At 41.3% G+C, this 17,292-nt stretch overlaps 1 annotated feature.

The window, feature by feature from the left end:
• Positions 13,534-13,583: a silencer, noted in NCBI's record as "silent region_17498". NCBI's record gives its function as "represses an Ori minimal core promoter by ATAC-STARR-seq in GM12878 lymphoblastoid cells {active_cell/tissue: GM12878}" and the evidence as "EXISTENCE:reporter gene assay evidence [ECO:0000049][PMID:35858748]".

Raw genomic sequence — 17,292 nt, forward strand, 5'->3', positions numbered from 1 at the left:
ATTTTTAGTTATACTTAGAGGAAGGAATAAGGAAAAGTGTGGCTACTCCATCTTCCCAGAAGCTGAAGTCTAATAGCTTCTTTTTATATAACACATTTTTAGAACACAGCACATTGTACATTTCTAGAGCAGATTTCCCACAGAGCGAATTAAGAGGGTTATGGGATTTCTGTGATATGTGAACATACAGAAGAACAAGGGAGAAATAGGCTTTGCCATCATGAAAGACAGGAAGGCAGAAAGGAAACAGTTGTCTCTAAAATAATAATCTAGTCACTCTTGTGCACTAGCAGAAGAGAGCCAGTGACCTAGTATAGTGTGCAGAAGTACCTGGCTGAGACTCCAACAAAAGCTTCAATTCCTCAGCCTGTCATTCCCAGTGTTGTGCTTTTATTCTGTGAGCATTGACGCTTTCTTTTAATACCTCAGTCAGACATGCATGAGAAGCATAACAGGGGCCTTGCTATCCCACATGATCAGATTTTTTTACCCCCAAACCAAACTGTTTAGTTTGCTTGGCTCTGGAAACCCCCAACCCTAATTCTACTTGTGGCCTAGTCGTGACAATTTTCTTGGTCTCAACAATTCCCAACATTGTGCCATTTTGTCTTTGGCAGTTCCCTGTTACGTTCTAATTGGAGATCAGGCAGATTAGCCTCCTTCCAAGGAAAAGCAAGACGCTCTTAGTCTCCCAGGGAAGGTCTTGTGACTCCAGAAAACCTAAGCTTATGCTCTGAATCCCAGTTACACTCAATAACTAGAGAAGAAAACTTAAGAATATAGGTACAAAGATGTCATGGGTCCCAGGCCCCAAATCTGATGAATAGTACTTAATTCCAAGTCCCATTGTTAATAAGGAAGAATATCAAATGTGTCCCAGCACTCAGGGGAAGTCTTTGGAATAAAGCCAACTGGGTTCACCTTCAAGGAGGGACAGAAAACCTTGGCTGAGGAAATGAGACAGGATTGATATTCTTAGTTTTCAATAGCTCCTCTTAAAAAATAAATCTTCAGTAAGATGTGATCAGTTACCATCTGAAAAAGATCTCTGAGCTGCAACAAGAGAGCAAAGCTTTGTAAAAATGGATCATAGAATAAGCATGGAGGACCCTTTAAAACTGCAAAGAGGAAGAGTGTGGAAAGGAGGTGGAGGAGAAACTGTTTAGCTCATATTTTAACCACAGTCTGCCAAATTTGTCTCCTTAAAGATCTCATTTGGTAAGTTTGAGAAGGCAGTAAAGAGCAGGGTGCCAAGACAGGGAGGAAGTGGTGGCACACACTTGTGGTCCTAGCTACTCAGGAGGCTGAGGTGGGAGGATTACTTGAGCCCAGATTGAGGCTGCAGTGAGCCACGATTGCACCACTGCACTCCAGCCTAGTTGAGAGAGAGCAAGAGCCTGTCTCAAAAAATAAAGAAAGAAATAAAGACAGGGGCAAGGAGAGGGGAAAAGGAAAGTGCCTGGGATCAGACTGCTTGGCTTCCAACAGGAGTTCTGCTAACCAAGTGTCAGGGCTTCTGGATTCTTTATAACCTGCCTCTCAATCTCCTAATTCTATGTTCTCTATCCAAATAGAAGTTCTATTAACTAAGGGAATAGTTGTCTGAATAAAGACTTTGGAATTAAACCTCATAAAGGATTCCCTATTTACTTAGAAATCTCTGCTAAGAAAGATTATTCAACTTCTTGATCTCAAGATTTTTATCTCTCTTGTTTTTCTCTGAATATTGATCATTTTCGTTTGGTCTGGAGTCATGAAAATGTTTAAATCACATGACACAACATTAAGATTTTCAGAGAAAATGGAAAAAAAAGATCTCTTTAAAAGGCAAAGCCTCTATGCTCTCAAACTTGCTGAAAATTCAATCCTTCATGTATTTAACTAAATAAGGAACTTTTCTCAGGATACAAATTGTAAATGTAGGAGATAAAAGACTATAGAAAAGTGTATGATAGGTTTTTTTAATTAGTAAAATTTACTTTTAGAGCAATTTTAGATTCACAGCAAAACTGAGTGGAAAGTACAGAATTTCTGTACACTCCCTTTCCCCACACACTAACAACCCCCGCATTAGCAACATCCGCCACCAGAGTGACTTTTGAATGGATACTCTCATTGTCCCATGCTTCATACCTTTCCTCTCTGTGGGCACTGCAAAGTGTTCATGGGTGTCCTATTCTTGCCCCATCCATGTCAGATACCTGTATTTGAGAACTCTCAGATCTCAGGTCTGAACATCTGAGAGTCACAGTGGGAGGCCAGGGGATGGGAACCACATTTTTATTGTTTCTATTACTTTTTAAGCTTCCAGTAATACTTTCCAGACATCCCAAGAGATTGCCTCCACTTCCTTGGAGTCTCACAGCATCCTGACAGCCACGCAGGAGGTGTTCCGGGTCATCCATGCCTCCTTCTTGTAGAGATGAGTGAACTGAGGCTGAAAGATGGGGAGGGGTTTGCACCAGGTCATGGAGTTGTGGAACCAGGGCTAGAACCCAGTTTTCTTTGACTGCCTGTCCAGCACCTTCTCACTGTGTCATATATCACATAAGCATAGCAGTTGAGGGCAGGAACAGGGCTGTGCTAAGGGCTCTTCAGTTCTCCTACTCCCTCCTCTCAGCCTCCCCTGCTCTGACCATATTGGTTTTAATTTCTCAGAGGTTTTAATCTCTCAGTTCAGCCTAAAGGCTGAAGGTCAGTATCAGGTTCAGTATTGGAAGACCCTCCAGCCCTCTACCCAACCAATGGTAACCTCTGCCTCCTGCTGTCCGATCTCTGTTAACTACTTGCTCCCCAGGGTCCCTCTCCAGCTCTTTCTACTTTGGTTCCTGGCTCAGATGGAGGGGCCCAGAACAAAAAGGGTGAGGCACTGCAGCCTATTAGCTGAGCCTCCTGAGACTCAGCTTCTGGGTCTGATCCCAACACTCAGGTCAATAGTTTGTGGCTATTATGAGTGAAGTGGAGAGTTCTCCATCTTTATCTTGTGGGCTCTGAATGATGGTTGTACTGTTATAGATGTGCATGACTCCAGAATTTTCCCAGAGTACAAGGACCCTAGCTCTGCCTGACACATGGATGTTGAGCCTCCACATTCCCCTCCTCTCCACATTACCCAGGTGAATGCCTCAAGGCACAGTGGAATCCCAGCCTCTGAGCAAGAAATAGAAACTCTGAAGACAGTAAAGCCTGGAACTCTTCTCCGGCTTGCTTTATCAAGCACTGCACATTTGTCTGTCCCTTCAGTTTCAATTTCTTTTTTTTTTCCACTTATTATAAAGGACATTGCAGAGGATGCAGATGAAGAGACACATAGGGTGAGTTACGAAGGAAGGGGTGCAGAATTTCCATGCCCTCCCTGGGCATGCCGCCCTTCAGGAACCTCCACATGTTCAGCTATCCAGAAGCTCACTGAACTTTCTCTTCTTGGGTTTTTATGGAAGCTTCATGACGTCAGCATTCTTTCCTCCAGGGTATAGGGTGGACCCTCTCATGGGAGGGTCTTAAGACCCACAATCAGAAAAGTAGGGGGACATTAGAGGAAAAGGAGGGCAGGAAAAGGTCAGAGGCCTGCCCCTGAGGCCTGACAAACCCAACATTATAACAAAAGATTGCAACAAGGACGATGGGAGTTGTGAGTCAGGAACTGTGGATAAAAACCAATACATATCACAACACCACAGCCTCCCCACACTGATTTTGTGTTTTTTGTTTTTTTGTTTTAATTTGAATAGTTTTTGGGGAACAGGTGGTGTTTAGTTGCATAGATAAGTTATTTGGTGGTGATTTCTGAGATTTTGGTGTATCCATCACCAGAGAAGTGTACACTGTACCCAATGTGTAGTCTTTTATTCCTCATCCCCCTCCCACCCTTCCCCCGAGTCTCCAAAGTCCAATTTATCATTCTTATGCCTTTATGTCCTCATAGCTTAGTTCCCACTTATAAGGGAGAACATACAATGTTTGGTTTTCCATTCCTGAGTTACTTCACTTAGAATAATGGTCTCCAACTCCATCCAGGTTGCTGTGAATGCCATTATTTTGTTCCTTTTCATGGTTGAGTAGTATTCCATGGTGTATATATACCACATTTTCTTTATCCACTCGTTGGTCAACGGTCATTTGGGCTGGTTCCATATTTTTGCGACTGCAAATTGTGCTGCCATAAACATGTGTGTGAAATATATACTACACACAATCATTAATAATTAATCCAGTTCTTCAGATTGTATGAATGTCTCCCAGGATGAGGCCACTCAGGTTTGCAGGCTTCCTCTCAATCGTGTCAGCTTCCAAAAGCAAAAGTGGCCATGGTAAATATAAAGCTTCACTCTTTCAGGCAGCTGGGAAAATTGAGCTAAGAGACAATATCATCTCTTGCTCTGAGACTATTTTGCCTTGTTAATATAAAATTAAATTTTCCTCAGTGACCCATTTATTCATGTCTTTACTCTCAGCTACGATTTCTCCTTCTCTCCTGTAACACCCAAACTTTTTGCCTTTGGAAGGGACACTAGAATCACCACTGTGCTGGTGTAGATTGTAGGGAGCAATACAAATCTATCAAGTAGCTCCTCCTCAGTTCATTCCCATTCAGACAGGGTAAGGTTACATAGGTGCAGAACTAATAAGCTATTTACCACCAGGCAATATAGCTGCATTCACTCCTAACCCCAATATTGCTAGAGGGAGTGAAGGCACAACCTACCCCCATTACGCCCTTAGGAATTTTGACATAAAGTTTAAAAACATAGTTACAGTTTTTTGCTTATAAACCAACGCTGCTGTGGCAACTTGCAGTTGCAGCCCTGGTCTTAGGACCTCAGCATCAGGTAGAGGGGAAAAACTAATTTTTTTTCGAGGTGACAAGGAAGAAAGAAAAAATTATAGTCACTATACCAATGTACTCCTCCCTTGGCAAGAATTGCAACATCATACCAGCATCGTCCCCACTTCCTCTTCCCCAGGTCAACCAGAAAAACAGAGAAAAAAAATCTAGCAGCAACACTCTAGTCCCATTCATGTTGAGTGCGAGCACCCACTTGTGAAGGTGTGTAAGCCAGCCCTTCATGCTTTTATTTCCCCTTGTTTTAGACAATCAATGTTTCAAGTGCCCATTCTACTTTTCTATCAAACTATCACTCCAACATGGATAACTGTCTGCTCATTGTTAGACTTTATGGGCTGTACAGTGAGTTCCTCAGTCTGAAGATACGATAGCCATCCAGACAGTCAAGCAATATCTTCTGTTCTGGTTCTTTTTATGGCACTCTGAGCATTTTCATCTTTCATTGAATAAAACTTACTCCAGAGTCAGTGTCTATTCCTGTCAAGACTCATCTGTAGCCCCACAAGGCTACTAGCATCAGTCTTACTTGCCCACCATGTTCAGGGACTTCCCACCAGAGAATGTGCCTCATAGCCATCAGCAGTCTCTGTCACTCTTGCTGAGAAACAGAATAGTTCTTCCTGGCATTTTGTGCCCGAGAGGTTGCAAAAGGAACATGAATAGATTCAGCCCATCTCTGCACTGCTGTAGTACCCACTCATTTCATGGACCCGGGCAGCCACCTCAAGGGAAAACATGGGGATATCTGCTTGTCGATTCCAGTCACCTTCTGAACCTGAAAGTTCGTTCTTCTTATGGGCATTGACTTGTTCTACATTAATGCACCCCTCACATCTCCATAGGGCTTGCTCCATAAGGGCATCCTTTTAATAGGCCAGGTTTCCGTTGCCCTCTTCCATGAGTATGGCCAAGCTATTGGTAACTGCCAATGAGTCAGTAAAAACTCAAATTCAGGGGCTTCTACCACATTCAATTTGCCCATCACTGTTGGAAAAGCAGCATGCAATTTAGCCCACCAAGCAGATCTGTTTCTACTTTTTTGTCAAAGTAGCGACCCTTCAGACAGGATGGTGTCCATTTACCTTTGAATTACCATTCGCAAACCAAGCAGCTCTTCGTTGGTCAACTGAGAGTGGTTTATTGGGCACTGTAGAATCCAGCAGTTTTTTACACACTTTCAGAGTCAGTCCTAGGGGAAAAGAAACTCCCTGCTGGAGGGTATCTCCTTCTTGCATTCCCTAAGTAGCAAGATCCTCCACAAACCATTTCCATTTTATTATGGAACTCCTCTGGGCACTGCCATCCCCATTAGAATGTTTCTCTGACATCACTCAAGATGGTACGGGTATTTCAGGTGCCATAGGATAGCTTCAGCTAACGTTTCATAGCAAGGCAGTAAATGCTTCTCATGTGGAAATTCTCTAGTCCAGTCTCTCAGTAGGTGTTGCTGGGAAGAGCTCAGAGGCTTTTGCCATAAGCTCCAGGAAATGCTCCACAGAGGGTTATCAAGTGGAGAATTTGTCCCCACCAGCATTCTACGTTCTGCTATGCATTGTGAACGCTTGGGCAATCCCACTGGTTCCCATTAAACAGACCTTACGGTGGCTTTTACCCAGTCCACCAGGCTGGCTATTCTCTCAGGAATAACCTCCTGTGTGTCTACACCACATATTCATCTGCAATTGTTCAATGGTGGTCTGATCCCAGCCCAGCCACATGGGCTGCTTGAAGGGCAGATTTACATGCCTTTCGTTTTATGGTACCTGGTATGGGAAACATTCCCCAATCAGATACAATGTTCATTCCCACAACACAATCAGGTAAAAGAGATGCAACCACTTCGCATGAAGTGTATTCAAATATACCAACTTTCTTTCTTTTTTTTTTCCTTTTTTTTTTTTTTTTTTTTGAGATGGAGTCTTGCTCTGTCGCCCAGGCTGGAGTGCAGTGGCGCGATCTAGGCTCACTGCAAGTTCCGCCTCCCGGGTTCATGCTATTCCCCTGCCTCAGCCTCTAGAGTAGCTGGGACTACAGGCGCCCGCCACCACGCCTAGCTAATTTTTTGTATTTTTAGTAGAGACAGGGTTTCACCGTGTTAGCCAGGATGGTCTCGATCTCCTGACCTCGTGATCTGCCTGCCTCAGCCTCCCAAAGTGCTGGGATTACAGGCTTGAGCCACCATGCCCGGCCGACTCATATATACCAACTTTCATAATCCTGTCAACCCTTACATTTTTATATCCTAGTTTCAGGAACATCTTTTCTCCACGCCCAGACCAATTTACCCTCTCTTGTGCAAAAGGCTTTGAGTCCTAAGCTAACGGGGACTCAAAGGGCTGAGCCAAAGGACCCTGGCCCTTTTGTCCATCTTTCTTGATTGGTGGGCCTGACTATTGCCCTAGGCAGTTTCAAATCAGATTTTTCATTATAATCTCTGTCTTCCAGCTTTTAAAATTTCTCCAAACTGGGAGAAATACACCAAGGTGGTTTGGGGCCCTTTAAAGATGGTGGACAAGATGGGGGTCCCTTTGGTCCACCCAACTTTCAATGTGTTCTAAGTCCTTTGTTCTAACCCATCAATTTCCATTTTATTCATTTCATTTCTGAATAACCATCTAGAGATCTTTATCTAGGATGAGTCCCATGACTCTCCCTTTCTTTTTCTTCTTAGTTTTACCCCATCACTACTTTCTTTATTCACCTTATTTCTTAATAACTGTTTAAAAATTTCCACCTTCCTGGATGAGTTTTTGACTCTCCTTTTTGCCTTTCCCAATTCTCTTGTTAATTAACTTAGTGTTTTTCTTAGCATCTGTAAGACTTGGCAAGCTGAGGCAGCAAATTTGACAAGGCTTCTTGAACTGTTGTTCAGTTCTGCAGGACTCACATCACATGGAGTACCCATGTAGAAGGGGCCCCCTTAACCACAGCATTTACCATGACTTGGGTAATAGACATATTCAGCAGGTGAATATTCCCATCATCACAAAGCCAGTCCCACATGGCTTGCATACAAAGCATATCAGCTGCTTCATCTGGGGTGTTCTACTTGGAATTTCTAGGTGGTGTTGGATAACCCCTCCCTCAGATTAAACAGACCTAAGGTGGCTTTTATCCTGTCCACCAGGCTGGCTGTTCTCTCAAGAATAACCTCCTGTGTGTCTGCATCATATATTCATCTGCAATTGTTTAATGGTGAGCTGTGGGTCTGGCATTAACCGAAACACACTCTTCCACTCTGCAGCATTTAAAACCGAAAATACTGCCCCTACGTTAGTCACTCTCATAATCCATTTTATTATAGCAAAGATTCCACAGGAAGCTAATGTTACCAATCTACAAAACAATTCCTTCATACTGTGTCCTCTGGTTTCAATAGTTACTTGGTTTTGCCCTTCTCTCACATTGACTGCCTTCTTGGTAACCACAGGTCTTAGAGGTACTTTCTGTTGTTCCTGCATAATTCTGCCCTTGGGGGGCATCTTTGAGGCTGGTGGCCTAAGCCCAGATTGAAATCCAACACAGCATTCTCTTTTAATTTCATTTTAGCTGTTACAGATAACAATAACCAAGAGATTGAAGATTTCACTTTTTCATTATTAGTTTGTATTTCCTTATACATCTAGTGAACCAACTCCTGGGAAGTTGGACCATCTCTAAATTCCACTGCTAACTTTTACCTTTAGCAACTGATCTCAACACATTGCAGCTTCATACCATTTTTACCAGAAAGGGGCCTGGATCCAGACCCCAAGAGAGGGTTCTTGGATCTCGCACAAGAAAGAAATCAAGGCGAATCCATAAAGTGAAAGCGAGTTTATTAGAGAAGCAAAGAAATAAAAGAATGGCTACTCGATTGGCAGAGCAGTGGCATGGGCTTCTCAACTAAAGATACTTATAGTTGTTTCTTGATTATATGCTAAAAAAGAGGTAGATTATTCATGAGTTTTCTGGGAAAGGAATGGGCAATCCCTGGAACTGAGGGTTTCTCCTCCTTTTAAACCATATAGGGAAACTTCCTGATGTTGCTGTGGCATTTGTAAGATGTCATGGCACTGGCGGGAGTGTCTTTTGGCATGCTATTGTATTATAACTAGTGAAAAATGGTGTAATAAGCAGTGAGGACAACCAGAGATCACTTTCATTGCTATCTTGGTTTTGGTGGGTTTTGGCTGGCTTCTTTACAACAACCCATTTTATCAGCAAGGTCTTTGTGACTTGTATCTTGTGCTGACCTCCTATGTCATTCTGTGACTAAGAATGCCTAACCTACTGGGAATGCAGCCCAGTAGGTCTCAGTCTTTTTTTACCAGCCTCTATACAATATGGAGTTGCTATGGTTCAAACACCTCTGACATATTTCTCCCCTCCCTTTTACAAGAGAACCCTTAATCCTAAGAGTTATGGAGAGATGAAGATTCATTTTCTGTAACTTCTTCAGGCTGAATGGGGCAATGATATTCCTGTCTAATTATTAGGGTCTCTTGTATTCAGGGTAGAGAGGAACTCATTCAGAAAGCATCAGTATGTCAAGGGGCACTCATAACTCTTGAGCTCTGGCAGAAAGTAATATCAGGAAAATTAATGTGTTCAATTTAAGAGAACATTGATTAAGCTTATCCTGCATTCCTACATATAGAGTACAATAACAATATATTCCACAAGAGTAAAGCTAAATAAGTAATACTATCCCAAGTAAACTAAATAAGAAGGCTTTCCATGAACTGGGCAATTGTTGAAACCAAGCTAATATGGAGTCACTAGATGATTCCAATACCTGCCCAGAATTAGAATACTAATCCAGATTTTTACATTACCCATCTGTCTTGTTTCTTCTGAGCAGCAGCCAGAGATCACTTGTTGGTTCACAAGAATAAGCGGGGTTAGTCTGAATTGCAGGGAAAAAAAAAACCTCAAAAACAACTGACGAGACTAGAATCTAATAACGGCACACCACAGTTTTTGGAACATAATTTTTCTCTCTCCAGTCTCCCATTTTTACTAAAGACAAATCATGGTAAGACCGATATGCTTTTTTCTCACTCATACGTGGGAATTGATCAATGAGAACGCTTGGACACAGGGTGGGGAACATCACACACCGGGGCCTGTTGTGGGGCAGGGGGAGGGAGGAGGGATAGCATTAGGAGATATACCTAATGTAAATGACGAGTTAATGGGTGCAGCACACCAATATGGCACATGTATAAATATGTAACGAACCTGCACGTTGTGCACATGTACCCTAGAACTTAAAGTATATTAAAAAAGACCTATATGCTTTATTATGCTTGGCCTGATTATCTGTATACAGTACAGCAAAAATAATTATTTTTCACATAGGCGTTTTCAGTTGGCTTTGATGGAACTCTGTTTCATAAGGAATCTCAGAAAAGACTTTTTTTTTAAAGCTAAGCCCAGTCATGGGTTTGTACCCTCAAATACCTATGAGTTGGGTAACTTCCTCTCCTCTTGAAGTCCCAAGATAACCTGGGGTTCCTGGGCCTGTCGGAAAGTGACATTCTTTACCTATCACACGTCAGGAACCCTGTACAGGGACTGTGTAGACAAGGTATGAGGCCAGTTTTCCCAAGGGACTTTTATTGGCTCTGTAAGTCAAGTTACACTCCTTAAAGGAAAACACATAATTCCAGTTAAAGCCTTGGTAAAATAACGAGTTTCTCCAATTGCATCCTGTTGCAAAAGAAAACATTCTTATTGCACTTATGCAAATAATTATATTTCCATAAGTTAAGGATATTCACAAATAGTCTTCAAATTCTGGAAAAATCAGGTAGAGAGAAACAAATATGCTCCAAATTTTGCTCATGGGAGTATACTTTATTCAATTGCTAAAAGCTGCCAATAGCTCAAAAGTTCTCTTGACTCTGAAAAACAAAACCAAGGATCTACAATATTTTAAGCAAAAAGTTAAAAAAAAAATACTTCAGCCTTCTACATGTTCAGTCCATGAATATTCATGAACATTCCAGCTCTCCATGAAAGTCCTGGAAGTTTTTCCTCTATTCTAATGTCACAGTCTCCAAAGTTATCAGAAACCTGCATTCAAGAGCACCTGTCAAAGTCCTATAGCTGACTATAAACTATCTTTTGAAGAGAATCCAAACAAGACAATAACTGTCTGTGGATGACAAAAAGTCCTAGGACAGCCATTATTAAAACCACAACTGACTAGAAATTTTGGTTACTTCTGTGGCATAAAACAGTTTTATGTAACAATGATAATTATTAATAACATAGACTAAGTCCTATCAGAATTATAGGAGTTTCCCATAATTTTGGAACACATAGCAGTAACATATTTATGCAATACAACTCAAAGAAAGCCAAACACCATTTCATATTTAACAATGCTTCCTGTATGATTTTTATACCAAATAAGCCAAATGTCATTTTTGGACAGTGACCCCCTAATATCTAAAAGATTAATTGCATCAGAAAAAGTCACAATTTACAATTTGATTTTGGAAAGTTTCTCAAATATCAAATCCTAGGTTACCAAAAGTCACTCATTTAGCTAAAATGGGAGCTCAAAAAAAAATTTTTTTTTGAGTTGGAGTTTCACTCTTGTTGCCCAGGCTGGAGTGCAGTGGCACGATCTCGGCTCACTGCAACCTCCGCCTCCCAGGTTCAAGTGATTCTCCTGCCTCAGCCTCTTGAGTAGCTGGGATTACAGGTGTCTGCCACCATGCCTGGCTAATTTTTGTATTTTTAGTAGAGACAGGTTTCACCATGTTGGCCAGGTTGGTCTTGAACTCCTGATGTCAGGTGATCTGCCTGCCTCGGCCTCCCAAAGTGCTGGGATTACAGGCCTGAGCCACTGCGCCGGGCCACAAAAATTTTTAAAAGACAAAAACGTTTACTCATCAATAGAGGGAAAACTTAACTTTCCAAACAATCTGTCTCTTTCTTTTTTTCTACAGTTTATTCAAAAGGGTAGACAAAAAACTTTCTTTTTTTAAAATATTACATGAAAATCTTGTTCAAGAGAGAGAGCCAAATTTACCCTTGCCTTAGTGCACTATTGATGTCAAACCTAATTCTTAATAAAACCTTATAAACAAATCTATCCAATCTTAATCATTATGACCATAACACTAAGATTCTTATAAACCTTTTCTAATCCTTTACAATTTTTGTGACAGAGCAGACTAGTGTTGTAAGAAAAAACCTGTTGTGCTTTTATTCCAATGTTCAATTTATGAAAAAACTAAATAATACTCCTTTAACTTTTAGCTAATATGTTCATATACAGAATTTCTTTTACAAGATTAATTTTTCACAAACATTCCACAACTTGCCCAAATCTTCAGCTTTTTCCTATCTAACTTAAAACAATCCTTTAACCTTTTAATCTAGGCAAAAAATCCACATTCCCATGGTTTCTTATATAATCTTTACCAAAAACACATTTCACTTTCCTTACACAACTTGCATGTAAAACTGTTTTTATTTCCCAAAGATTACTTAAGTTATGTGAACTAAAAGGCATTACACTTCTTACTTTTCTGACGAAATGTTTGGTTTAAGCACTTATTATTTTTTAAGCCAATTAATTAGAGCTCCTGTATATATAAACATCACATGCACAACACAGATAAATAGAAGAAGATCTACTAGTTGTAAGATTTTTCATTTGCCCGTGTTTCTTAATTGAATTACTGGCTTCAGGGTGGAACAGGGACAGGAAAACAGGCAGTTTCTACAGCCTAATAAGCAGGCACAGCTGGAAGGCAAAACAGATTCCCCTAAAATTAAGGGTCCCATTTTATACCAGATCCTGGATCCCCAAAATGAGAAACACTATGGAAAAAGACAGTACAGTGATTTTACTGTGCATTTCATTGCAAAGCAATCTAAAGCCAATCAGTCCATTCTGTGATTAGCCCATCCCTCATAGGAGTCTTATCTCTGGGTGTGTGGGGGCTGGGGAGACACATCTGCATACCTTCCAGGTGGCCAAGAGCATACTTCTCCAATCCAAACACCAAAGAGTCAAGTATTCGCCCATAACTGCCATTAGCCTTTCCTAAAAGTATATTTCCTACCTAGTTATTATACACAAAGTAGTTTTTGATACCCAAGAGTCAAAACATCAGATAACACAATGTAATGCAAAACAGAACAGAGCCTAAGATTTTGAGAGAGATCTATCCACTTTCAATTACTGATTTCTCTGAGGAAAACAGAGGTTTTTCCCAGTGCTGGATCTGGGGCATCTCCTCTGTTTTTCCCAAGGAGTCCCAGGCTGTTAGAACTTGAATATCCACTTTCAATTAAGTGGACTTTTCACCATAGCACTCTTTTTTTTTTTAAAGTCCTTTTAAATCTCTTACTACCACCTTTAGCCATGCCAAACTGCCAATATTTCTGGCTTTTGAACTTTACCAAAAATAATCTCACAGGTGAAACCCATAAGCCTTAACTATTAAGCTACAACATTGGGAAGTTTCCATTGCACTTCCCAGAAGGAGTCTAGAGCAACCAATTTTGAGTTTGCAAAGGCATAAATTTTGGGAATAACTATGACATGAACCCCCAAATTCCTGCTCCCTGGATGGCAGAGACCAAGAGAAAGTACTGCCACATGGTTACAAGGTCAAGCTCCCAAGGACATTTTTCAACATGTGGTCTCTGGGCAAGATGAAAGAGTGAACAGTTAACCTAACAGAAAAGTTAGAAAAGAGAAAGAAGAGAAAGAGAAACACAATTAGGAAACAGCTGTCCTGGGGTTGTCATAAGAACCAACTCAGATCAAGTATATGAAACTTCTTCAAAAACTACTTCTTGAAATGACACAAATGTATCGCATGTAGTACAGAGGCAACTAGAATTTAAAAATAGGGCTGGCCCTGGAAAGTGATACCGTAAATTAGTGAATAATGAATCAAACACAATGACGGAATAAGGGAGAAAGCCTGGATAGGAGAGGCATGCTTGCCTCAATAGCATGCCTAAAGAAGGAATCGTAGGACAATGGTAAGTTTTATCAGAAATGAAAATTAGAGAAAGGCCACTTTGGGAGGAAAGTGTTGACTGTGCCCTGCTGAGCTCTGCCACAGGGAGGGAGGGGTCTGACCTTTGTAGCCTAGCTGTTTAGTGCTTGTGGCAAAAATATCCACATGGGGGTGACAAAGACTCTCTGTGACCAAACAGTCAAGCTCCCCTGAGCCTTCTTTTTATCTAGGCATTGTCCTTGAACCCTGTCTTTGGCCTGCCTAGTCCAGCTTTAGCAAGAATTCTGCTAAGTTAGTTCAGAGAGAATACCCCACCCTCTGTATTGGATCAAGTTTCTCCTCCCTTATCTTTGACATATAAGTCCTTGACCTGCATTCAGCAAGAATCCCATTAAGCCAGTTTACAAGAATCCCCTCTACCCCGATGTCTCCTCCTAGTGATTTTTCATCATGGACTCCCTCACCCTGCCCACTGGATTCACTGAATCCCTGAATTCAAAGTTGAGCCTGATTGCTCCTCTATTGCCGTAATCTTGACACCTATTACAATGCAAATCTGAACAAGTTTCTACACTTTCCCTGCTTCCCACTACCCCCCAGAACCCTGAGATCCTGCTTCTGCCTCCCACTCTGTATTCAGGCTCAAGTTCACTGATAATGTAGGCTCAATCTTTTTTTTTTTTTTTTTTTTTTGAGGCAGAGTCTCGCTCCCGCTCTTCGCCCAGGCTGGAGTATGATGGCATGATCTCGGCTCACTGCAACCTCTGCCTCCTGGGTTCAAGTGATTCTCCTGCCTCAATCTCTTGAGTAGCTGGGATTACAGGCACCCACCACCATGCCTGGCTAATTTTTGTATTTTTAGTAGAGATGGGGTTTCTCCATGCTGGCCAGGCTGGTCTCAAACTCCTGACCTCAGGTGATCCACCTGCCTTGGCCTTCCAAAGTGCTGGGATTACAGGTGTGAGCCACTGTGCCTGGCCAGGTTCAATCTTCATAAGCACCCTGTGATCTCTGTTTCTGAGCTTTAAAAATAATATCTTTTCCTTGTCTGACAAACATTGTTTTCCTTCTAATTAATATCTTCACCTCTCCCAGGCCCTGCCAGACTTTTAAAATCCAGGTTATATGCCCTTCTTCTGTGATTCCATGGTACCCTGTACCTCTGCTATCCCTGTGCCTATCAATCGATATAATTCATTTTGTCTGTATAATTAACTTTCCCAAATTTTTATTATTAGATCATAAATCAGGAAGAGAAGGTATTTATTTTTATTGTACTGCTGTCACATTGTTTCACATATGGAAAATGTCTAAAACATTGGGAATTACAATTGAACTTGAGATTTGGGTGGGGACACAGATTGAAACCATATCAGACATCTATAAGGGCTTCAATTTTATAGCTGATAGTTTTCTTCATAGAGTCACAGGCAGGGTTACTAAATGTTAAGGATAAATTGAATTAGGTCATTGAACTGGACTACAATCTATTTTGAAGCTGTCTGTTTAGAATCATGCTAGGTTTGCAGTTCTGTTTAAATTCTGTCTTACCTAAGCAAGACAGAACACATAATTTATAATATAAAATAAGGCAGCTCCTGACCAGCTGTTATGTATTTTTACAGAAGAGCTGGCAAATGTAAGCATAAATTGCAGTAAGATATGCAAAATAAGGACTGGATGGCAAGTGGGGGGATGGGTTAGAAGTGCAATAGCCTATGAGAGACACTTCCCTAGAGATATTTCCCATCTTAGTATGTGAAATGTTTATAGGTAGATCCTAATAAGCATAATTTTTCTTAATGGAACTTGGTTCTTAGATTCCATCATGCATCATTTTAAAAAATCAAAGTGGAATCGTCTCAAGATTAAAACAAGTATATTAATTCAACAAGGCTTATTTCATTGTATAGAAAAATATACTGTAGTTCCAGCTACTCAGAAGGCTGCGGCAGGAGGACTGAGACCAGGAGCTGGAAGCTGTAGTGCACTGTGATCAGGCCTGTGAATAGACACTGCACTCCAGCTGGGCAACATGGTAAGACCCTTTCTCTAAAAATGATACATACATATACATATACATGTATACACACACACACCCCAGTATATATATTTTATAATCTGTTGTATTTTCACTTTTTTCTTTTATTATGACTTTCTTAACTAGAGATTTTACATTTCAAGGAAGGAATGGCATGATGAAATCAATAGGATCTGGCTGGTCTTTCTGTTTCTTCATTGTTACCAGATCCTAAATCTTTCCCCTTATCTGGCTCAGGATTCAGGTGTACAGCAGATAATTCCATTCCCATCAAGGTACTGACTGAAGTTAAAAAAAAAAAAAAGTCACCCCTGAAAGCCCACCTGCCTCACATTATGAATTCCTCACTGTTAAACAATACTCCCCATTGTCTTTGCTTCATTCATAGCTCACAGTGTCAAACCTGTTGGAGCCTGGAAGCAGCTGCCCAAACTCACTTAGAAAGAATGAAGAGAAATAAGAAAAAGCGAAAACTGAAGTTAGGAGGAGACTCAACGTATCAAAGTATCGTTCTGTGTTTTTGAGTGTAAGAATACTCAATATTTTTATGGGTGTGAATTTACTTTCTGTTAAAAAATGATAAAACCTACCGTTTATTAGGTACTTTCTCTACATGCTAGAACCCAATATACACATTCAGTTAGGTACTTTCTCTACATGATAGAACTTAATATACAAATTCAGTATACACTGAATATACACATATATACCCAGTTTGATTCTGGACCTCAGCTCTTCAACAAAGCTGAGGTCCAGAATCAAACCGGGATCCCCTCCATTTCTAAAGCCCAAGTTCTTTCATCTAAGATATGCTGCCTCAGAGAAAGCAAAGCCCCAAAGACAATCTCATTTGAGATTTTATCAGCTTGTTTATTTAGTTAAAAAAAGAAAAGGAAGAGGAAAAAAGGAACGCATGTATGAAATGAGTCTGTCCAGGGTATCCAAAGATCACGAGGGGCCAATGTTTGCCATTGGAGGGGCTGTTGCTTCCTCTCCGCCTCCACGCTTCCCTGCGCTGCACCTCTAGGTGAAACTTCAGCGTGCCGCGCGGTGGTGCGAAGGTGAGGGCAGCGCGCAGAGGAAGTAAACGGGGACTACAGGGGACCAGAGACGTGAGATAGTCCTTAAAATACATATCTAATCTGTCCTCGTCATTTTCCACTGCCACCACCCTATTCAACTACTCGGTGATAACCCTGTAATTCTCCAGTCTCCAATCTGTCCTCCCCAAACCCTTCTCCGCAACTCCTCAAGAGGATCATCGGGTGGAGTCCTTCCCCCTTCTGAACCTTCCGTGGCTGCTCACTACTCCGAGGACCAAGTTAAACATCCTTTAGGTTATTTAGCTGCACGTCCTGGCCCCTACTCTGTACACTAGCTTCTACATCTGGCCGTGTACCCACCTGTTCACTGTGCTCCAGCTACCT

The sequence above is a fragment of the Homo sapiens genome, chromosome 6 (assembly GCF_000001405.40).
Source record: "Homo sapiens chromosome 6, GRCh38.p14 Primary Assembly".
Taxonomy (NCBI): domain Eukaryota; kingdom Metazoa; phylum Chordata; class Mammalia; order Primates; family Hominidae; genus Homo; species Homo sapiens.